At 36.4% G+C, this 25,305-nt stretch overlaps 1 protein-coding gene across 19 annotated transcripts in view, besides 1 other annotated feature; it reads left to right on the forward strand.

Annotated features, from left to right (window-relative positions):
- Window positions 1-25,305, forward strand: part of DNM3 (dynamin 3) — a 576,969-nt gene that overhangs the window by 425,622 nt on the left and 126,042 nt on the right. The gene's annotated exons all lie outside the window — the stretch shown is intronic.
- Window positions 11,228-11,882: an enhancer, noted in NCBI's record as "OCT4-NANOG hESC enhancer chr1:172247487-172248141 (GRCh37/hg19 assembly coordinates)". NCBI's record gives its function as "activates a minimal SCP1, AML or CMV promoter by ChIP-STARR-seq in naive H9 embryonic stem cells {active_cell/tissue: H9 hESC(naive)}" and the evidence as "EXISTENCE:reporter gene assay evidence [ECO:0000049][PMID:30033119]".

Consider the following 25,305-nt stretch of genomic DNA (forward strand, 5'->3'; position numbering starts at 1 on the left):
AATGATAAGTTAAATAATTAAAATGTAACAATTCTATAACTTCTCTACTGTGAGACTGCTTTCCATGAGGGAGAGGCTGTTTTTCTTATTCATTGCTGTATCCCCAGGGCCTAACACAGTGCCTGGCATTTTTGTGAGCTCAATAGCATGAGGGAATGAATGCATGGATGCAAAACTTTCCCCCTCTGTTATATGGAGAAGATAGAAATAATGCCAATTGCTAATATAAGGCATTCTTAAAGTAAGTAAGCTCTAGAAGCCTAGAACTTCAAATGCAAGTGGGATGAAAATGGAAATACAGATTCAGACTCTCAGAGGAAATAGTTTGAGGACAAAAGGAAATATTTCATTTAGAAAGTAATAACCTCGGTAATATACAGACTGTATAAATGAGTGCTGTTTGAACTAAATAGAATTCTATGACATTGTCCTTTAAGAAAAAAAAAAGCATAGATGTTTTATTGTAAATTGTCTTAACATCATTCTCATAATCTTAACGTTTATTATTCAAAAATGCTTTGTAGATAGCTACACTAAGCATTCTAAATCTTTATTTCTTGGTTCTAGCAAAGTATTGACAAATTTCAGGTTTTCTTTTTTTTTTATTTTTAGAGATGGAGTCTCACTCTGTCACCCAGGCTGGAGTGCAGTGGCAAGATCTCTGCTCACTGCAAGCTCCGCCTCCCGGGTTCACACCATTCTCCTGCCTCAGCCTCCCAAGTAGCTGGGACTACAGGCACCCGCCACCAAGCCCAGCTAATTTTTTGTATTTTTAGTAGAGACGGGGTTTCACCACGTTAGCCAGGATGGTCTCGATCTCCTGACCTCGTGATTCACCCACCTTGGTCTCCCAAAGTGCTGGGATTACAGGTATGAGCCACGGCACCTGGCCAGGTTTTCTATTAGTTTTAAAAGTTAAGCAGGAGGAGAGCCAGAAGACAATTTCAATTCTCTGTTCATAAGTTTTCACTTCTTTTTTCTGCTAGAACTATTAAGTTCACAGGGCTCAGACAGAGACTTGAGGACTCTTACAGTTATTGATTGTGACTGCACAAGATGAGGGTAATGTTTATTTGTCATTATAAATCTGGAAAGATAAACCCTGTGCTTTCCCTGTTAAGGGGCTGGATAGGAATACGTGTTCAGCAAGTCAGTAAAAAAAAAAAAAAAAAATTGTATATTTTGAAAGTTGATTCCAAGTCCAAATCTTGGAAACAGAGATCTCTGTTTTTGCGTTTGTTCTTTTCCTTTGTTCTAGTCCCTCATTGCAAAGATATTTGTTGTCATATGGTTCTGATCCTGCTTGTTACAAGTTTCCCAATTCTCAATACTGCATCTTTTTCCTTTAAGAGTGTCCCTCTAGTTGTGAAATAGCATCATTAGGAAATCCTAGGTACACCAGAGAGGAGGGGGAAAATATTTTTAAAGGGAGCCTGGAGAGGGATGGATTGGAGAACCAAAATTCTCGGCCCATTTGGTTTATTTGATTCACCAACCACACCCAGACAGAAATCAAATATAATTTGGTAATATTTTTATGAACTAAGTCTGTGACAATTGAATTCACAGCTAAGATATATTCTCATGAAAGACAACATAATTTCTTGAGTATGAAATGCCTGTGACTTAAAGCAAGCAATTTAAATTCTTTATTGTTTTTCAAATGAAACTCTGAAATGAAATAGGAGTATGACGTCCTACTTGGATGATTGTTTCTGCCTTTTTTGAGGGAGAAAAATAGCAAGTTAGTGCTTTTCAACGTTTTTAAATGTCATTAAAAGATTTTGGAGGAATTCTTCATGCTTAAAACACCTGTGTGAAGTCTAGATTCATTTTTCTAGGGGAATCAGGCATCGTACTTTTCAGGAGCCTTTGCGTATTTCAAACAAATAGATTGATAGGATAGAATCAGCAACTTCAGTTGCTTTCTTCCCAAGGATTCAGTTTCTCTCTTCCCAAGGATTTAAACTGGAGTTGTAACCGAAGCCATTAGTAGTGCCAGCAAGGATTTTGGTCAAAGTGTTTGAGGCATTCATGTTCAGGTTTCTGTCCAAAGACTGTGTTGATGAATGAGCCCAACACGGCTATGTAAAGTTCAAGAACAAAAAGAAATTATGTCCTTCACAGCAAGTTTACTTTTCTTCTAGGATTTCAGAGCAAACACATTGCCCTCTCTCCACCTATTTTCCGGAACAAGTATTTGCTTTCCCCACTACCCTCGTCAGACAAACACTGCAGCTTGGGACAGAAGTGTGCCTCCATTTGGAAACCATAGAACAACCCCAGCTGCTATTCATTAATGATAGGGGACCCAATCGCTAGTTGTAAACATGCTACAGAAAAAATATGATCAATTCTAAGAGACATGCTTTAAATGAGACACTGTAGTGGTAAGCTGTAAGAGAACTGATAGATCACTATTCTACCTTAAAAGAGATTGATACAAATGATTGCTAGGCTTTGTTAAAAAAACTAGCTTTTCTTTTTGAAAGCTATTAGTCACTCTGAAGAACTGGATTCAAGATATTATCTGTCTTGTTTCAGGCTTTTATTTCAAAGAATAAGTTTATATTTTGGTTACTTATGTTAAGGATGGAATTAAAGTGAGTTGTGTGCTGCAGCTTCCTTTTAGCCAGTGTGGTGGTGATTTTGTGAATTTGTGATAGCGTGGGGCCCCCAGGCTGAAGCCAGTAGTGAGACAGCAAGTGTTCAGGTATTTCAGTCAGCAACCTAGGGAGCAGAGCTCTTCAGAAATGAATAAGCAGGATTGCGAAAATATCCCTAGCTGGGCCCAGCCTGAAGGAAATGTTTAAATACCAATATCTCTTTGGCCGTCTTAGAGGCCTCCCAAGAACAAAAATAAAGGAAACTAAGGGCATGTTTTATTGACTATTGGAATAATCAGGTTTTTAGCAATAACATGTAGAATATAGTAAGAAAAAAACTTACGTCAAATAGTAGAATAAACATAAAAAGTCCAAAGAGGATTATTCTTCAAGTCTATTGCTGTTTCAATTCAGTTAGAGTTGAATAATGGCATCTCTGGCAGCCATAAGTGTTTTCTATTATTAGCAGTGTTACCATATACTATCCTGACATTACTAAAGTAATAACACCTTGCCTAGGAGTTCTTGAATTTGAAAAAAAAAAAAAAGCCTTTAAGCCAAACAGCACTTGTAACTATAATGCTAAATGAAGATAATTGAGCTACTTCAATCATGCACTCAAGATATTAATAATAAACCTGTCTTTTAAAAATAACAATTTACAAATAAGAATCTTTGTGTGACTTAACATTGCATGTCTAATATATTTTCAGTTTTCTTTAGTTGACTTATGGTGACACCAACTTACCCATAAAGAATGTCTTTAGTACCTATACCTGCTGAAAAAAAATACTGTGAAGGTTTGAATTATATTCCTTACACATAAATTATATTATTCTGCTTCAACTTGCTGCATTCAAAGGGAAACTATTTACTGGCATGTGTAATTAATTTTAATTAACACACAGCCTCAGCAAAGGGAACCGACATGGTACAAGCCTTGGTAGAAAATGTTAGTCACACTCTGCAGCTAACTCTGAGCAGATGCATAGTTTCATGAAGAAAATATTTGCAACGTCTAACTGTAGCGAGTTTTTCTCCTTTCTTTCTTTTTCTAATTTTGAAACTGCCTGTGTTTATTTCTTAGAATCTGAAAAAAAAAAGTACTGTGGGTATAAAGGAACAGTTTCAAAAAATGCAGTTGCAGAGAGTAGTTTTGACTATTCAAACAAGTAACTGCCTTTGCTCTCAGTGTGTGTTAAATCCACACCTCACTGAAATCTTTTATAGGTAAGAGTATGAGTGATATGTGTTATACTACCAGATATTAGCCTAAACTCTTTTTAATATTATAAAATGATTTTGCTTCAGAAAATAAATAAGTTGCTCTATCATCACTGTACTAAGGAGGACTCCTTTTCACTCTTAAAAATTGTTGAAGACCACAAAGAGCTTTTGTTTATGTGGACTGTGTGTGGATTATATCAGGAATATTGTGAGTTGGTTGACTTCACATTGTTGTTTGAAACTGGCCATAGTGAGAGTATTTATACCAGAAAACTAGCAAATGCTAAAATCATAGCTTCTCCTTTTTCTAGAAAGTCTGTTGATAAGCTTTTATCAGCACACCACCAATTATATTTATTGTTAGAAATTAAAAATGAGGTTTTAAAAATATTCATTTATTTAAAACTAACCCTAATAAACCCATTTTATGTTAACATAAATTATATGTTTTACTTTAAAAATTATTGAAAAGAGTGGCTTTTTTTTACAGTTTTGCAAATCTTCTTAATGTGTAGTTTAACAGAAGACAGCTGGATACCCATATCTGCTTCTGCTTTCAATCTGTTACAATATGTTGTTTTGGTTGAAATCAATGATGAAAACCTGGCCTCACACAGATGTGTAGAAAATGGAAGAGTATTTTAATAGCCTTTTAAAATTGTGGATCTTCTTCTTTGATATTCCACCAAAACTCGACAAGTAATTGTTTCTTAAAAGTTAATTGCAATGAGGGATCTGAAATCATATCAATGAGCTTTCTATATTCTGCTACACTGATTCATTGGTCTATCATGCACTTTAAATGGATCTTTTACTTATGAATGATTTTGTAACATCATACATTTGTCATTTGGAAAACATTGGTTCACTGATTTACACAGATCTTCCAAATGTTTATACATTTCATTCTACAATGCTTAAAAATCACATTCATTAATATCCACCAATCTTATCAGAAAAAGGGAAGGTGTCAATGACGCCCATGGTGATAGATATGAGTTTTCCAAAACTCTAACACAAAAATTTATCATTGGCCACAAATAGTGTCAGTTGTTTTCCTTTAAATGACAGGCTTATTTTGTTTATTTTTGAGAAAATATCTGCCAAAAACTGAAGTTTTAGTAACGATAGATTGTTAGCCAGTTTTTCAAGTAAAAACGGAATCCCATGAAAAACAGCATCTGCTTCACCTTACAACTGCTTTGCTTGAGACAAGCACTTCAGGATACAGCAGAAGTGCTTGTGTGTACTTCTTATTTTGTGACATGGAATATTAAAATTTAATCTCTAGAAAATATTCACTTATAATTAATACATAATTATTATCTAGAATATATGAATCTAAATTAAAATTTAATCTTTGGATATAATAGAATTAATATTTTTAACTGCTTCATCAGGATATCCTTAAGTGAAACTTGCTTTTTTTAAAACTGTGATGACATAGCAGTGAAGGCTACAATGACCATCAGTCAGTACCTCATTGTGATGTTGCCTTGGTTTATGCTAGGGCACCCACCCTTGCCTTTGCACCATCAGTGCAATGTTAATATATTTGTTGCTCCATAAACCATGAAATTAAAGTGATTCTACACTTTGGCTATTTCAGTAATACTTGTGTTCATTGATAAGAATTCATTTAAATGAATATCTTTGAGGATTAGTTAGTACTGATACCAGACAAATAGAATCAAAACAAGTGTCATTCTTTAGACTTGTCCATTTTAGGGCAAAAGTATAATTCTGCAGATTAGAGTTCTAAACTCATGTTTCATGGCAGCAACTAAATATTTAATTAGACAAATTAACTCTGTCATTTTAAAATTATAGTCATTTCTTTTTCTTGACTTCTGTTATCCAGTAGACATTCAGCAATGCCAACTGTACAAAAGCTTTTAGACTCTCAGCTAGTGTGCACTTCTCCAGCTAATGCAGCACAATGATTTATCCTATAAAATGCTTCAAGGACTTTTTCACTTCTAGTTTGAAAAGCCCTAACAAACAATATTGGGCTTACAAAGAACATACCTATGTCTAAAATATTTTATTCTTTTTTCTTTAAATGTTCAATGATTCATCTCAAAATGAGGCTGTAACTTAAGTGGCATTAAAATGCTATTCAAGTGTTCAATTGCAAAAGACAATAGGTAAATTATATACATATGTTAAAAAATAAGAGAAAGCTTTATTTGTAGTTTTAATTTTTTGTTATTTATAGTTTTGTCCTGTTTCTTTGCATTAGATGCCTTCCTTCTAGGAGTCAGAGCACTAACTCTGACATGTCAGTCTTATCTTCTTCAATATCTTTAGATGTAGCTGTTGCAGCTAGGGTTGAGAAAGTTTCTCTTCAAATCTCCCTTTTTTAAGCCAATGAGCCATCCTTAAACATAAGGAAAATACATTTTCTTTTATTTTAGAACTACTAAATCCTAAAATAATACATTTTAGATAAAAATTTTAAAACTACAAGTTTTGTAAATTAAAGCATTGCAAAACAAGACAAAAAGATATACTTACTTCTTGTTGTGTCTGTACATAGGCCCAAGGGAAACTTTAGGATTTCAAAATCACAATGTATTGGATGATAATGAGGTTAACAAAGATTATAGCAAGCATAAACAAAAATAATTATTAAGGGTGTGGTAGAAGCACTGAGAACAAATGAGTTAATCTCAGAAAATGCACATACTCTCTTTCAAATTTCTAGTACACAACTTTACTTTCCATTAATTGCCAGGTAATAACATCATCACATCATGTCCCTTTTTGATAAACTTCTCTGTATATTCATAACAGAATGAAAGTGAAAAAAGCAAACTAGTATTATGACAATGGTTTTGATCTGGAGAAACATCTGAAAGGATCTTGGGGACTCCTGAAAGAGTCCTGTGTACCCCAGTAGTCCCCAGATAATACTTTGAGGACTATTGTGAAATGGCAGTTATGCAATACGTGATATAATGATTCAGTGGTGTCACATCAGCTTAAGCTGTATTTTCATGCAATGGGGGGTGTGCTTATTGCATAAGTAAGTCTGTTGGATGTTTCTCTTACTTGTGAAGAATCAATATTACATTGATTGCCAAATTTGATTTTTCAAGTCCCCTACACACTGTCGTAAAGCAGATGGTAAAGACAGAATACCTCTGAAAAGTCAAACTCATGTCAGCTAAATTGATAGATTTATCTTAGCATCGAAAGCCATGTCACTCAGTCCCCTCCTACTCAACCCCAATATAAAAACCGAAACAGTGATGGAATTTCCAGAGCATTTGTTTACTCCCTTTAACTACCATTGCTCTTTGCTGAGTGATGATGCAGGGCAGATGGTGTCAGGGAGAGAAATCATCAACTAGCTCAGGATTGAAAGGGGATGAAGATGCTAGAAATGTGTTGATGTTTGAGAAGGATGTGTGGAAATGAAGAAGTGACTAAAGAGGACAGCCTTATCACCAACAACATAAGCATATCCCTTGCTCTTTAATTCTGCCCCAGAGGGAAAGGAACAGGGCTTCAGTCTCAAATGAGAGAGCCACTTTTCTAGTCTGGGGTAAAGATATCATGCATACCTTTCCTTCCTTCCCCTCCACTGTGATAGATCTGAGAAGTGATGAAAGCCAAGAAATATTGAGCTGTTGGATTTTTTTTACTAAATGCTATGTATGCCAAGGGTTATTTGCTTAATATCCTTCATCTTGGATCAAAATGGTGAGAAATTTAAAACCGAGAATTTCCCTGAAACACTGGTTTTTAAACCTTCTCTAGTGAAGGTTTTTTTTTTTTTTTTAATTTTCAATTACTTGCAGATCAATGCAAGGTCCTATTGCACGCCTGAGCAGTTTGCAACTTGCATGGCATGAGACTCACCTTATGAGTTCAGCAGCACTCAAACTGGTCTAAACACTTGAACAAGACAGACTAGTCCACTGATCAGGGCTTGGATGTCATAGCAGTGTCAAATTGCTACAAGGGCTTCCAACTGCTTACTCTTTGTTTCTGTATTTTTGTCATTATACACTAGTAAACAAGCAGTTCTGGGACCTGAAGCAATGCTCTGTTATTGGCCATCACAAATGTAAGGTTGAATTTGCCACATGCACTGTCTAGTCAAGGTTAATTATTCCTAGACAACTATGACTTGCCATCTGTGTAGCTGTTGCTAGATGCACAAGTAGAATTAGTTATGGTAGTGTGGGCTCATCAGGTAGAACCATTCAAAGTGTATATCACTTATATCTCATAGATTAGAACACATGGTCCAGATACTTATTAAATTATTGGATAGATCAAATTTCCATTAACTATACCTCTAACACAGAGGCTATCATCTGTGTGAATATACAGATGATAGAACATACAGAACAAGAACATGCAGGCTCAATATTTGTCACTAAAGTTATTTTATCATTAATTATTTTCAACATAATCTAATTTTCTTCTACAATCTGGAAAATATTTGGATTTTTTGGCATGCTGCATGTCTGCTTCTTTATAGTGCCTTCTTTCAAATACCTGAATCATAAATGAAGAAAAAAAAACTTGAGAAAGATACAGTTGTTGACATTTCAACCTTCTTGCTCTTTTCAAAACCACCTTACCTGCTAACTTCTGTTGCCTCTCCCCACCAGAGATGATTATTAATTTTTTCTTTCACATGGCTCAACTGGTCTGACACTCTTGGAAAACAAATATTTGTTTCCAGCCCATGGAAACACACATAGTGTACTCAAGCCAGAAGTTCTGAGAAAGCACACTGTCAGGTGCTGCTACTCCTTTGGAGAACCTGGCTCCCATGAAAACATCTGAAATATAGTTCCGTAACATCATCTATTATTAAAAGATAATTTTTATTGCCTTGAAATTTCTCCTTGAAGAGTATTTCCTTACTGAAGTGTTTTATGTTTAACTTGTCAAAAATTAAGGAAGGCATGAAAGTTGCCTTATGGAACTGAAGGACTCGCATTCTGCGTTGTCTTTCCAGAGGACTGAATTAGTAATGTGTAAAAGTGGCTCAGAAAAAGATATCAGCATATCATCAGGAAGAGGTTTTTAATACTCTTAAGATTTTATGTATTACATATATAGTATATATTTTTAGTATAGCTTTTTAAAAATAGAATGGGCAACTTGTGAGTTAGCAAGCCTCCCCCCATTTCCAGAGCACTTTAGCAGAAGCTAGATAACAACTTATTGGTAGGGTGTCCTAATTTATCATCACTCTTGAGAGTAAAAGGGGACAGTATTAATAATTAGTGTGGGACAGCACTTGGCAATAAACTGGGACTGTCTGGGCAAAAAGAAACAAATGGTAAATCCTACCTGTGAATGATGTCATAGAAGAGAGTCCTGCCTGATGGGGGAATTTGGCTTAGGTGACCCCTATAGTATATACTCACTTGACTATTTTCTGCACTACCATTTCCTCATAACTTTTTCCGATAACTTATTTTGCTAATATTCTCTAAACAGGAAGAAGTTTGAAATGCATTATTAAGGATTAGATTTTAAATTATGTTTAGGAAGATTTATGTGTAAATTGTGTTATAATTCTTTTAAATCCTGTAACACAAATTAGCTTGTAATAATCACAGAAAAAAAATCTTAATGTGTGTGTGTGTGTGTGTGTGTGTGTGTATAGGACTATGTTCCAGCTGGCCTTATTGAGTGAGTGTTCTTGTTAATTATAAACCAGTCTTGAGTGTGATACCACTGTTTATTATTGATACCTTCAACCTGCTTCTGAGATTCTTCTTATGAGTTAGAGTATCCCCAGAATCCTAAATGGGGAACCTCACTTCCATATTCGATAAGCTGATGTCAATTACAATAAAGAGTATGAGAATTATAAGTTAGACAAAAGGCAAGATAGTTCCTTTGAGAGGAAAGCATGCCTTACAACTCTATGAGTTGTTTGGAAAGTTAAGTATTTGTGACAATAATGAATGAATAAGTACATATTTAAGCTTTCAAATAGCCATTGACAAAAATCTGAATCATGGTGGAATTCAAAAAAAGTTCATTATGTTTTCTTTAAAAAAATATGTGGCTAGAAAACTGTCTCTGAGAAAGATTAAGGGTAGAAATTATTCAACCTATAAGTGCTTTATTGAGCATCTGTTATGTATTAGGCTCTGAGGTAGGAGCTAATGGGTACAAAAATGGTCCTTGTCCTCTGCATTCATGACTCTAGTAGTGTATTGGAAAGAGATGGATATTTCTGTTAATGATATAGTATAACAAATGAGATTTCTCATGATCCTAATTTTCTAGATTTCTAGGACTCTAACCAGCCTTAACGTTTGTATAAGTAATCAGAAATACTTTGCAAAAACTCATATTTTGCAGATCAGGCTCACTTGGGTAGTGAAAAGACAATCTTTAGAGGATTTCACAGCGTTTTAGTAGTGAGCAGGAAAATGGCAGACTAATTGAAATGTGGAAAAACCTGAGGTGTCATGTAAATTTAGAGGAAAATGGTCCAAACTGTAGTCATAGATTCTTGGAGTCTGATCAAAGGCAGTGAGTGTAGGAGTCTCTGTAGACTAGTTCTGAAAGTATCTATGCAATGTGTTGATGTGGTCAAGTAGACATCATCAAGAATAGAAAACACACTACTGATGTACAAAATTATGGTGTTTTATAACCTAACACATTATATATTAAAAAGTTGCCAGTCAATTGCAAAAAAAGGTGTAATATAACCAGAAAAGATTCTGTAAATAATAATTAAAATAATTGATGAGGTAAGAGAATTATCTTTTATGAAAATAGCGAAAGCATTAGGATTCTTCATTATGAAAAGATGAGATGTGTTTTCAAGTGTTAATGTCATTGAATTATGTGACTGTGATTTTCCCCCAAATTGAAAACTACTAGAATAAGAAGCCTTGAATAAAAAAATATAGGCTGCACTGAAGTTCTGTCAATTATATTCCTAATAGATTACATTAGCCCTGAGAGGTGGTACAGATACTTCCCAAACAATTTATATAAAATTATGACTGCATAAAAAATTAGTCTGTTCCTAAAGGAAAGCATCTCTGAAAGCATCTCTCAGCTCAGAGATTCATTGCAAGGAAAACCTCTCTGCCTTTCCTGATGTTTTCTGTTATATAAATACAGTTGAAGTGAACACTTGGTTTGACCCATAATTCTACTTTTTTTGTATTCTGTTCAAGGTACAAGAGAATCAAAATGACAAAGCACTTATGAAGAATGCGCCAGTCTATTTTCCTTAGGTGTATAAATAGCTATGGTTTTTTTTCTGCCCAAAGTCAATATTTCAAGTATTTTCTTACTTTACTAATGCTGTCACAACTCATCATTTATAGCCCCTTCAAAGGGCCATTAGTGTTTCACAATATGTAATGCAGGGGTGCCCAATCTTTTGGTTTCCCTGGCCACATTGGAAGAAGAATTGTCTTGGGCCACACATAAAATACACTAAAACTAACAATAGCTGATGAGCTAAAAAAAATTGCAAGAAAACCTCACAATGTTTTAAGAAAGTTTACGAATTCATGTTGGACCACATCCAAAGCCATCCTGGGCCTCATGCAGCCGTGGGCCACAGGTTGGACAAGTTTGAATTGTAACAAATGTAGTCACCTTCAGGGAAGCACTCACTATACATTTTTTGCCATGCCACTGGGGAGAAGGCAAGTGTGTGATTCACTAGCCCTTTAGCTCATAAACATCCCTGCTGTGTCCTGCCTTCAGTTAAAAATCAGGAATATCAGCATGTGACTTGTTGCATAAGTATACAAACTCAGCCAGTGTCTCATTGTACCATTTACTTCACTGCCTCTAAAGTTCTGTGGCATTTCCATAACAAACCCCAGCACATGCTGACTAGAGAAGAACCCCAGCAGACCACAGTGATTGACTTAATTTGGAGGTTAAAATGTTCTTTCTCTGGTAGTTTCTATTATCACTGCGACTTTTCCCGGGACACAAGATCAGTCTCCCCATGCTTAACCCAGAGGAGTTAGGCCAGTTTTCTGTTGCTGAAATTCACTTTGCTTATTTTCACTAGCAAACTGGTTTCATAAGCATAATCTTGCCAGACTGTATGTCATTTTTCTCCCTTTATTGTAGGAAATGATTGAGTGTGTGTGTTGAGGAAACGATTGATGCTTTGCCACCTTTGGAGGGAGCAATTATTTTGTGAGAAAGCTTGAGAATAATTAATTTATGTTGGATTGAAAAATAATTGGAAGCATTTTTCAGTTCCTTTTAATACACAGATTCTTATAGTAAAAGCATATTCATTTGAAATACACAAACTTTAGAAAACTATTTAATTGAGTAGATTTGGATAGTGGACTATTGTACCCCAAAAAGGGTCTCTTATGTCTATACATTTGCACAGAATACTAGTGTATGGGTGTTTGCACTTGAATAATTCCCAAATTGGCACAAATTAATTAGCAAATGCATGTGCTTGGTTCTTTTACATTGCTGTTGTCAATATCATCAATCTTGATTTCCAGCAAGATCCTGAACACCTTAGTCACGAATTTTATCGTGAAAATGTTAAGTGCGCTTGTTCCATCTATATGCTGTTGACCCTAAAGGTACACATCCAACTCTGATTACTCTTCTGGGCTTCAAATCTATATCCAGGCTTCTTCCTACCAACCCCAGCTTAAAATTAAACTCTTGGTCTTTCCACCCAGACATGCTCCTCCAATCTCCCAGTTGCTCATGCTGGAAACTTAAACATCACCTTGGATTTTTCTCTTGCCTTCACTTTCCGCACCCAGTTTCTCAGAAACATATGATGGCTCTGCCTTGGATATATATTTAGAATTCAGCCTCTTCTTTCTTACCCCTTGGCCTCATCGGCCTAGTCATCTCTTTGACTTTGGCAGTAGCCTCCTCCTTGCTGTTGTCATCCTGCAGTTAGTGTGTTCTTCATGCAGCAACCAGAGTGGTATTTTTTAAAAAATAGATCAGATCCTATCAGACCCCTCTGCTTAAAGTCCGTGTATTTTTCCATCAAGCTGACAAAAAAATTCAAATTTATCATGGCCTATGAGCCCCTCCATTGTCTGGCTTCTGGCTCCTTCTCTGAACTCATTTCTGAGTCTCCGCATTGTTCACCCTGCTCCAGTGATACTGGCCTCCTTACTGCTTCTTGAATATGTTGAGCTTGTTCCTGTCTGAGGGCCTTTGCATTCACCAGGAATATTCTTTCCCAGAAACTCCCGTGAGTCATGCCCCACCCCCTCAGTTCATGTCTGTTTTCAAATGCCACCACCTCATTTTCTGACCACCCTATCTAAAGAGGCACCTTCATCACTCTGTTCTTTTATCCTGCTCTATTTTGTTCATGACACTTATTACTTTTTGATATTTTTATTCATTGTTGTTTGCTTTGTCTTCTCCATTTTAGTATAAGTTCAGTGAAGGCAAAAATTTAATCTTTTTTAAAAAATTTATTCACTGCTCTATCCTGAGGGCCTAGAACACTGCCTAGCATATGGTAGTTATTCAGGAATGAAGGAATGAATGAGCATGTGAGTGAATACATGTTAGTCTTGATTATGAATATGCTACAGCTTACTTCTTACTGGATTTTTTCTCTCAGTTTTAAGCTTCAACCGATTTATTTAATGATAACTACATGTTTTGTGAGGATATAAAAATGGTACTGAATAATTACATGGCACTTTGTACTTTACATTCTGCTTTTACATACATTGTTTTATTGTGTTAAATGTTTAAGAAATCATCCAAAGAAATTCCAGGCTAGTAATACAAAGACAAAAAGAAAAACATTTATGAAAATCTTATAAGGAGCATCACTGAAACTCAAATTCATGAAAATTAATAGTATCCAGATTTTAGAAATACACACATGCATGCATACATGCACACACAGAGTGAGAGATGAAAGGAATGGTTCAAGCCAAGCATCAATAATTAAGTTATCCTGAAATATTGTAAATGGGTGAAAGGACTAGATAAAAGTGGCATTCCACATCTGGAGATTGGAATATGGGAAGTCATGGTCAGAGACAGACAATTATGTTCAAGGAACAGCAAGTTTTGCTTTGATGGAAAGAGACTCTTTATAACTGGAAGTTATGAAAAACTAAATGTGATAATATTGTGTGTGTGTGTGTGTGTGTGTGTATGTGTGATAATGGAGAGAGTGTGATAGCAGAATTAAATTGTGGGAAGTTTTAAAGCTATAGAACAAGACACTCCTCCAGATTTTCAGAAGAGAACTGACAGAAGTATAGAGAAGGATATACTACTTAATGAAATACAGAGTGGATTGAAAGGAGGTAAGGTAAGACACGGAAAGGAACTGAGGAGATTGCTGAAATGTTTCAAGAGATGGAAAAATGACAGAGTTCCAGATGAACTCTACACTTGAAATCGATTTCTTTCTCCATGGTTCACAAATGAATCATCACAATGGCAATCTCAAGATGAGAGTAACCAGGAAAATCCTACCCCAATGGAGATTAAGTAATCTGTGAGCTGACACCCCCATTTTCCCCAACATAAGCATTCTTGAGCCATATGGAGCTCTAATAGAAGGAAACACATTTCCTGGATCAGCTCTTTGCCTCTACAAAGTAGCTTAGAGCCCAAATTATTGATATATATAATTTAGTACTATAAGTTACTTAATAGCTGTCGTATTTAATATAAGTAATTATTGTTACTTTTTAAAATATACCAATGAACTTGATCTTAGGATTTTTTTTCAGTGACTCGAGCTGGTTTGCAGACCCCACTCCATAATTATAGACTTCTGTTCTTAAATGTTAGCTTCTTTGTTTGGCAGTATTATACTTGTTTCTTTCTCACTGAGATAAATGTTCCTAACAAAAAGAGATAATAAATGTTTTGGGTGATGGATAGTCCGGTTACACTGATTTGATCATTATACATTGAATACTTGTATCAAAATATCACAGTACCCCATAAATATGTATAACTCTTATGTATTTACAAAAATTAAAAAAGAAAAATCTAACATATAATTTTTGGTCCTCCCAATTCTTTGCTCTGAAATTTCTAAATTATATAACATTGGCATTGAAAGAGACCAAGAGATGTCATATCCCACCTGTAGGCAAGACCATATCTAAAATACATTAGCAAGATGAAAAGCTATTGCAGTACTTGCTTCTAAGACTGCTTAGCCCAGTGTTTCCACCAAACTCAGGGCAGAGCTATGGAGGAGCTGAAGTTTGTGTTTTGTCTTGTCCGTTGCTCATCCTCGCCGCTCATTCTGTCTACCTCCTTCTTTGATCTTCCTTTCTCAGTTAATTACATCATCTGGAAATATGGCCTTGTGAACTAATCACTTTCTCCAGGAACATTTCCATTTTAATAATAATCACTACCAGTCACCATGCTAAATGCTTTGCATGCATTATTTCAAATTCTTAAAACAACCCTCTTAGTACTATCCCCATTTAACAACAAAGAAATTGAGTCCCCGAGAACTTAAGTAACTTGGTTCAAAGTCACAGACTAGCACACATAATTAACAAGTATCAGGGTTTGAATTTCTCTATCTGATTGCAATGTCTACATTCCTTCCATCACATCATACTAATTCTTATAGAAACCTAAAGCCCTCAAGACTTAAAAAAATGAAATTTCCAGAAGCTTACTTAACTAGCTGGTGAAAAATTTGATAAGGGGATAAGGATATTCCAGATGGGATATCTCTGTTTATCTACTCCACATATTTAAAAGTCAGTCTGACTTTATCTGTGTCAGGAAGCACCTTTTGTTAAACCACTGTGATGCTGGGCTTAACTCTACTTGGAGAGAGTCTTAGGTTCCTTGTTTGTCAGTATAGTTCATCAGTCTTCTTTGGCAACTATACCCCAGTGGACATCCACATGTGTTCCTCATAAGAGAAGAAAAGTACAGTCCTTCAGTTCAGGCACATGGACAGCTTATGTGACTGTCTTAGGCTTCAGGCTTTACCTTTGGGTGGGACATATTTTTATGCCCACACAGTTCCATCAAGTAGCATCGCATCAACTTGCACCTGTTTTACTCCAGAACTTCTTCCTTTCCAGGTTCCAGCCATCTTAGAGCGTTGCTAGTTACTGACAATCAGGCAGATCTGATTGTCAGAGGCTTCTTTGCATTATCAGAAAATTATCCTTCATATCCTTGTGCCACATTGTCAGTTTCTTCTCATTTTTTTCCTCAATGGCAATGGCTAAAACGCCAGGGGCTCCATATTGCTTCAGACAGTACTTCATCTGCTGCTGTCATCTTGCAGATATCTTCCCTTGGCCTTTTAGCCTCATCTCTCTTCTCTTTAGTCACTTTGGAGGCTTTCTCCAGCTCCTTCCCACTGTGCCCCACCTCTTTATTTAGTTCCTAGAACTGGACACAGTGGTTGGCAGGACTTGACCAACACAGGGCACAAGACAGCAGTTACCTTATATTCTTTCTTGTGGCTAATTTCTCCATTGCCATTTCCTGAAGCCTTTTCAGTCATTCCTCAAGTATATTCATTCCTATAGAAAACCAAGTCAGGCTGGGCATGGTGGCTCACACCTGTAATCCCATCACTTTGGGAGGCCAAGGTGGGCAGATCATGAGGTCAAGAGATCAAGACCATCCTGGCCAAGATGCTGAAACGCCGTCTCTACTAAAAATGCAAAAATTAGGCAGGCGTGGTGGCAGGCACTTGTAGTCCCAGCTACCCGGGAGGCTGAGGCAGGAAAATCGCTTGAAACCAGGAGGCGGAGGTTGCAGTGAGCTGAGATCATGCCACTGCACTCCAGCCTGGGTGATAGAGTGAGACTCCATCTCAAAAAAAAAAAAAAAAAAAAAAAAGAAAGAAAGAAAGAAAACCAAGTCAATGTTGATTTTATTGAGATGTAAGAGGGTTATATTCTAAATTTAGCAGGGAAGAGGCAGATTTCCCTAGGAAAGTGCTATGTTGTCTCCTTCCTCAGCTAAGTTTTTATAAAAGGTTGCCTTTGGGTTTTCGTTGTGGTTAAAAATGTGCAATTGCTTGTTTTGCAATAGGTTTTGTTCTGTGTTGCTACAATTTTCTCTTTTATATATTGTTTTTGCTTACAATTAAATCCAGGAAAATGTGGAAGAAAAAGAAGTGAAATAATCTCACAGCTGCTACGTTTTCCTGGAAGGCAAAGACACCTCCATTTTAAAGTTAGTTTTAAAACATGAAATCATTGTTCTTTGAAACAGCCATCTGGTCAAAGACCCCTTTGTAGAGTACATTTTTAAACAACAATTTTTAAAAACCACTAGGAGCTTTGTAAATATTTTCTTTATCTGGGTTATGAATTATTTTCAGCCTTTTGAGTAATTGTTAAAATGATGAAACTTACTGGAATAAAACAGATGTCTGTTTTTTGTTTTGTTTTTAGGGGAAAGAGGAAAATGTCATTGGGATATTGAGATTTACTTGGTACCTTGACAGTGAAATCTGAATAAATGGTTGTTAGTGTCCTTCTTAGCAATCCATTTACCATCCTTTTTTTTCTCTCTGTAATGCCAGAATATAAGCTTCATGAGAATAGCAACCTTATCTCTGTTCATCGCTATGTACCCCTAAGGGCCTAGCACAATGCCTGGCACATAGCTTCTCAAGACATGTTTATCAAACAAATAAATCAAGAAATGAATACCATAGGAACATTATACAGAATGACTTTTCATGTAATCAGTTACATAATTCATTTGTCCTTCCATTTTCTTCTACAGAGACACTTGGCATGGAAGTCTCCCTTAATAGAAACTTTCAGGTTGAAGATATGCCTAAAAATTGCTACCGTTTTTACTAGTCCATTACGGTTCTCTTATCCATGATTTTTATGTAAATCAACTCTAAATTGTTTATACTTTTACCACCTCTGAGGACAATAAATCCCACAAATAGAAGGGAGTTATGGTTCAACTCAATGGATGTATAAGTAAGGCATTAAGTGAATACAGAGGGAGAATAATTTATGCAATTATTGCTAAGTGGGCTAGACTCAGAGGAAGGAATATTCCAGTTGAGGCTGTAAGGGTGAGTAGAAATTTACCAGGTGGTGAAGCAGTCAGGGGAATAGAGGCAACAATGCATGAAAAGTCTTAAAGGGATGAAGGGCATGCCATACAGTCCCTCACCTCAGGACCATCACCAGCACTGTCATCATCTGTCTGCTGAAATATCACTCATGCAAAACACAGGCTGCCACTGAAGTGCATGATTTTTTAAAATTGAGAATGATATTTTTTCTTTGAAGAGTCGGTTATATCCATTATTTTAAAAACTGTCAGTTCACCTGAAACAGCCTCCCCAAACGAATCACTCTATAGCCAAGCCTCATGGAGACCAGGTTTTTACCAACTTTTTGCAGCAAGACTACTTATGTGGCCCAGACTTTGGGCCATGAATAATTTTGTGCAAAACTCACCCCATCCCAATCTCACTGAATGTTAGCAGTGGGGTGCTGCAGAGTCTGAATGAAGGTGGCGGTGGTGTTGGTGATTTCCCTGGGTGGGGCCAGGGGACACAGCATCTTGGGCCCAAGCACATCTTAGGCAACCCTATCCGCAAAGGCCCAAACTTCCCAGATGCATCCAAGACATCTTTTTGAAGCCTCAGACAGAGCAGTAGTATGAAGACCTATTTTTCCATGTAATAAAGGCTCATATAAAACTTTTCAAAATCAGTTCAAGGAACTCACTTTGATATGACTTGACATGAATTTAAATAACAACAATAATAATACCAAGAGGTAATAATTTAGAAATAATTTGAAAGCCGAGTTTTGTGGGGAACCATTACATAAAACCATTGGCACCATGATCCTACCACTCTCATTCTTCTGAAATTTTCCTCCACCCTTTTCTGTTTCACAGTATCTTAATGTTGATAAACTAACACAGACAGCCCCAACGCAGTCCCAGGCTCTTAGAGCTCGCATCTAACTCCCTCTGGGTGTTTGTGGGATAACATGAATCTGCAACTGTCCATATGATTTCACGATTGTTGTTTTTTGGCTTCTTGACCTACGTTATGCCTTCTGGGATAAGATGCTGCTTGCCTTGCATTGATAGTTCCTCAAAGATCTTATTTTTTAGAACTTTTAAAGTGAGTTATTTATATATATATATATATACTATTATCATTTAGTCATTAACTCAAATGAAAGATCCCACACAGAGTAATTTTTATACATAGTAAATATGGAAGGAAGAGGCCAAGCTAGCACAGACTGGGCAGCAATTTTTCCTGTCATGTGAAAAGTCATGGCATGGGTGGACCAATGGCCTCTCTCTCTATTTATTCCTCTGATTTCAGAAATGCTGAGTTTCAGCAGGCTATTACCATATATTCTGACCTAATAAATGAGACAGACTGAGAATAATTGTGGTTCTCTCTGCTTTCTTCACCAGTTCCTTTTATTCCATTCCACTCCTTTCATTGCTTTGCGCTAAATGAAATTTGGATTGCAACAACAACTTTTTAAAAATGACATTGTAATATTGGCTAATTTGCCTGGTATTGGTTATGCCCAAGTAGACACATGACCTGTGGCTGTTTGGCTTGTCCCCCTATGGGAAAATAGTTTAATGAAGCTAATACGTTGTACTAAAATAAAATAAATTCACATGGCACCCAGCATCACAGCCACAAGCAACATGGTTATTATTTATTACCCTGAGACACCAGCCCCACATCTCCAACTGCCTACTGGGCATTTTCACTGTGAGGGCCTTCTGTCGCTTCCTCTTTAATCCATCTGGAACCAAAACCATCACCCTCCTTTCAAAGCCATGCCTCACTATTGGAGTTTTAGGGGGCCAATTAATCATACCAGTTACTTCCCCTGTCTAGTTAAAATTGTTGCTGTTGCTGTTTTTAGAAGCAGTACACAAAAAGCAAACAGATAAGGCATGAAACAAATAGATCCAGATCTGTGGCCAAATGTCTTGCTCATACTTCAACTCCCAGTAATCACAACCACAGCTGAGCAACCACAGACCTCTACCAGAGGGCAGAGCTCATCAGAACATCTTGGAATAGGAGAGAAATGCCTGTGTCCTGCAGGCACGTCTTGCTCAATTTCTCCTTTATAGCTCACCAGTCAAATCAGCCAGTCCTCCTCTTTTGAGGGGAAGAAAATGAAGGCTAAGGAAAAGGGGCCAAGAGCTGAAGTCCCTTCAAGAGGCCAGGAGATCAAGTTCCCACTAACTCATCACTCCCGCATTTTCTATTTTTGTTTAGATATTTTCTTTGTTTATATGACATCAAATTATTTTAGCATTTGGGGATGAGAAAAAATAGTTAGATATTAAACATCCTATATTGTGAGAGGTTTCTACCATTTAAATTGTAATCTATTTTCTTTATGACCTTTTTCACCATAAATAAGACCCCCACAGTTATAACCAAAATTCACACTTTCAGCTCATTACTTGTTACTGTGATTAATGCTGACAAGGACCTGGCACCATGGCCATTGGCAGCCAGAGAAGGTCAGGACTAGTGGTGACTCAGCTGACTCTGCAGCTGCACTTACAGTAAATGTGTTTTGCAATGCTCTTATATTTAAAAATATTTTCTACAAATTTTTAATTCTTATTTAATTTTCTATTCATGTTTTATTATCATTTGCTCTTTGCTATATCAAGAGAAGGAAATAACAGATCAAATATCAAATCAACTGAGGTCCAAAAAACTCGTCCCTTTGGCAATGAATCATGGTACTTTGAGACAACAGGCAACGGTCAACCTCCAATTTGAATGGTTGTTGCATTGATCTTTGAGGATGCTATAGAAAGATAAGGAAAAAAGTATTTATAATATATATAAAATATATATATATATACACATGCACACACACACACACACACACACACATATATTTTTTGAGACAAGATCTTGCTCTGTTGCCAGGCTGTGGTACAGTGGCACTATCACAGCTTATTTGCAGCCTCTAACTCCTGGGCTCAAGCCATCCTCCTGCCTCAGCCTCCCAAAGTGATAGGATTACATGAGCCACTGTGTCTGACCAAGGAAAAGTATTTTAAATAAATGAGGGATACTAAGCTAATTCAACCATTGGCGAACACTTTATTCTGTCATGCATTCATTGCAAATTATTACCAAACACCAGCGCTGTGCTTAGGTTCTAAGAGGAACATGTCCCCTATTCTCATGGAATTCACAGTATAGTGAGAGAGGCTGATAACAAACAGTAATTACTTAATCACAACTGCTAATTACAACTACTGTGAGAATTTATAATACAGTGACCTGTCCATTTGGGGATTTCAGGGAATGGTCAAAACTAACACTAGAAGAATGCATAGAAATAGATTAGGTGAAGGGAGAAGGGGAGATTGTTCCAGGCAGAGTGAACAGCATATGCCAAGACCCTGAGGTAGGGAGAAGCTTTGTGTGTTCATGGAACTGATAGCTGGAGCCTGATGGGCAAGAATCAGGGGCCAGATCATTTATGATCCTACAGGCCATGTTAGGGTTGCTTTGTTGGTCTTTAATGCAGCAGGGAACCACTGAAGGGGAGTAATGTGGTTCAGTTTGGCTGCAGAATGGAGAGTAGAGAGGAACAAGTGCAGGAGTTGGGTTTTTGTAATACAGATAAGAGGTGATGACATCCTGGACTAGAAAGATGGAATAGAGGAATAAATGGGAGCTATTAACTGGCTACGTTGACAGAACTGACTGATTGGAAATGAGGTAGGGGAGAAAGAGATGTCGTGAATGACACCTAGGCATCTGGCACAAGCATCTCTTTGGAAGAAGCTGCCATTTACTAGTAGGAGGGAACTTTAGGGGAAGAGAAGATTTGGGAGCACATCCAGATTTCAAAATCTGAGATATCAAGAGAGCAACTGTAGCTCAGAGATGTCTGGCATTTATTAGCGGTCAGTTTATATATAGTACTAAATGCAAGTAGTCTCTTAGTATTTCTCATAGAAAGTTATCTTAGGAAAAAATCCTAGCTGGTAGTAATGCCTGGGTCTTTAAATTTTTCATTAAGTTCCGTTTCCTAATATATATTTTTAGGAGTTTCACATTTCTATTCATGAGTGAGATTGGTTTAAAGCGATATATTGAAAAGTTTGTTCCTTTTAATACTAGCCCCAGGAGAAGCTCAAGGGGGAAAAAAAGATTCAAAGGTGAAGTAAGCTTGGGAAGTCCTGTATAGCCTATTCATTTCTTGGAGATTTAAAATATGTATTAGACTATTATAATTTCTGAGAGGTTCTGAATAAAAGAAGCTTACTCTTAAAATCTAGGGAAAAAGGTATATAAAACTCTCTGAAGCCAGAACTATTGTGGAGAAAATTTTTAAATTTTTTTCCAATTTATCCTGTAGATACTGGTCAGATGGGATTTTATTATTTTGGTGTTATATTTCCTATATGTAACATCCATAATTGATACAAATTTACTATCATAAAAGCATACTTAGAATCTCTTAAGATAATTTAATCTTTTGTCTGTTAACTATATGTCGTCTCATTTCTAATTTTGTTTTCTCATCTTTTATATTACAGAATTCTGTTTTATTGTCTGATTCATTAGAGAAGAAACTCCTAAATGTAACAATAACATATTTGGTTCTCCACATTAATTCTTGACTTTATAAAATATTATATTCTTCTTTGCTTCGTTTTATAATTTTCCAACTTGCTCAATTTAATGCTGACAATCTATTTTTTGTTTCTTTTTAATAATAAAGTGTACCTGATTGTGATTTTGTCTCTGAATAGAGTTTTGGTTGCATGTTCTAAGTTTCAATACTGTGTGTAAGGTTGTTTAGTAAACAGTGTGTAATTATACTTTTGAGTTACTATTTGACAAAAATTTGCATGGAGTTTTAATTTATCTGAAGTGGTTTTGTTGTTCTTTCCTATTTAACTTTTATCATAATTTGTAGTTTTATTGTACTGTTGGGTTTTCTTTAACTGTAGATATGTGAAATCAGCAATATTATCTGTAAGGTAAAAGACAATTTATAGTCCTAATTTATTAAATTTATATTATTGACATCATAGGTTTGATGATTAATTTGTGATAATGTAAGATCTTTGTGTCATTAATTTATTGTCAATAATCTTTGAAGAACTTTGAATGCTGAGAAAATACTGGTGAGACTAGTCAGTCAACAAATATTAATGAGCACCTACTATATAACATAAATGCTAGGAATATATTGGTGAACATTTAAAGCTCCATCAATGGACTTGTGCTGTAGTTAGATGAGGCAGCAGATAGTTAACATACCTAATTTTACATACAGATAATTGTTATGATGAAAACGGAATAATGAAAAGAGTAAGAATGGGTGAAGGGTGGCAGGATTTTAGCTAGAGGGGTTAGGGGAGGCTTCTCTAGGGGATATTAGTGGATTATCAATGTGAATGAGATAGAATATCATTTCCAGCAAAAGGATTGGCGCCTGCAAAATCCCAAGGAAGAAACATGCTTGGCATATTTAAGAAACTGCAAATAAAAAGGCCAATGTGGCTGGAGCAGAATGAGGATGGGAAGAATGAAAATGCACATTTGAAACAGAGGAGGAAAATGAGGGGGCAAGAAGTCCAGACCTTTTTCCACTCGCCGTGAGAAGTGACTGGAGGATAGTAAACAGGGTGGTGATAAAATATACAATCTCTGTGGCTTCTTTGTGGCGAGTGGAGCAAGAAAACCATCAAGAAGATGTTATAAGTTGTGATAATCATCCCAATGAGAGAAGATAGTGACTTGGATATGGGAATCTGTAGGTCAGGGGAGAGATCTGAACTAAGCCACCTTTAAATGATATGAAAGGCCACCATACTGGGAAGATTACCACTGGAGAAATTGAGAGTGAAGTAGGCCATGAGAGAACCCTGGGACACCCCCAGAATTTAAAGGCCTTTAAGAGGAAGACGAGACAAAAAGAGATTAAGAAGCTGTAGTCAGTGAGGTAGCAGTGTGGGAGTCAGGCGGGTGTGATATCACAGAAGCCTGGAGGAGAAGGTGTTTGAGGACAGAGGGGGAGTGGTCAACAAATGCTACAGTAAAGCCAAGTAATGTGAAAACAGGGAATTGACAATTTGTTTGGGCAAGATGTAGATCACATGACCGTGAAAAGCGCTGTATCTATAGAGTAGCAGGATTACAGCCCTCACTTGGGTGGACTGAGGAAAGAATAAAGAGGGAGAGAATGGAAAAATAATTCAAGATAACTCAAGGAGTTTTGCTATAAAGGCAAATAGAAATGGGGCAGTTATTGGGAGTGAAGAAAGGTCTAGAGAAAGTGTGTGTGTGTGCACACGCATACATGTGCGTGTGTACACGTGTGCACGCCTGTTTTCAGATGGCTGCTTTTAAGGCATGCTAGTATACAATATGAATGATCCAAGCAGTTGAAAGGAAGAAACTGTATAAAAGGAATGAACACAGGGTGGAAGTTCATGCGGACCTTAGGAGAGACAGGACCCCATGTCTCAGTTGAAGGTTTGGCCTTCCATTATACAAGATAAAGGCAGAATCTGTGGTTGCAAATGTAGGTAGTCTCATGGATTTGTTGGAAAGAAGATGGATTATTCTTATCTGATTATGTATTTTTTCACTGTGAAGTATGAAGCAAGATTCTCCATTAAGTATGAGTGAAGGGTATATTAGAGATTTGAGGGAAGAAAATGTATGTAGTAGTAATCATCTGGTAAAGTGAGAAAGCATATTTACTACAGAATTGTAGTAAGGATGTCTGGAAAGGCTGGGTACCCATTTGATAGTTGTAGTTATAAATCTGAAGTGAGTGCAGTCAGCACAGTTGTATAGTTTTGGTCTTGCATGATTTGGCAATCTGGATACAGGGTCTGAGTAAGAAAGTAATTTGACTGGAGTTTTAATAAAACTGGTAATGACATAGGACTATGATGTTAGTCTGAATATGCAGATAATGTAAAACAGGAAGAAATATGAATATATTTTTTGCCAGAATCAGGATTCAGACATCTGAGCAAACTAGAAGGATGGGCCCAGACTAACACAATGAAATATAATAATGCTAAACAAAATTTACTTTTATATTTTAAAAAGACTATATGCATTCAGTATAGGAGAGGCCTGGTTTTATAGGAGGTCACGTGCACAGGACCTAAAGGCAGTGGAAATAATAAATGATAAAAGTGTTTGAATTTTGTATATTTTTCTTATATATTTACCTTATCTTTGGCATTGTGTTAAGCAAGCTCTTCACATATATAATCCATTTTTCATTATAATAAGCCTCAAGTTGATATTATAATCCCCATTTTATAGGTAGGTTAACAGATTCAGAAAGGTTGCCTCAGGCAGTGTCACATAAGATAATAAATGGCACAAAATGGATTTGAGCAGGTGTTCATGGTCTTTAATATATCCTGAATTTTACTCATCTTACATTAGCAAATATTTATTGTCCAGAAAACAGGCAAAAGTTCCACCAATATC

Source organism: Homo sapiens, chromosome 1, assembly GCF_000001405.40.
Source record: "Homo sapiens chromosome 1, GRCh38.p14 Primary Assembly".
Classification (NCBI taxonomy): Eukaryota; Metazoa; Chordata; class Mammalia; order Primates; family Hominidae; genus Homo; species Homo sapiens.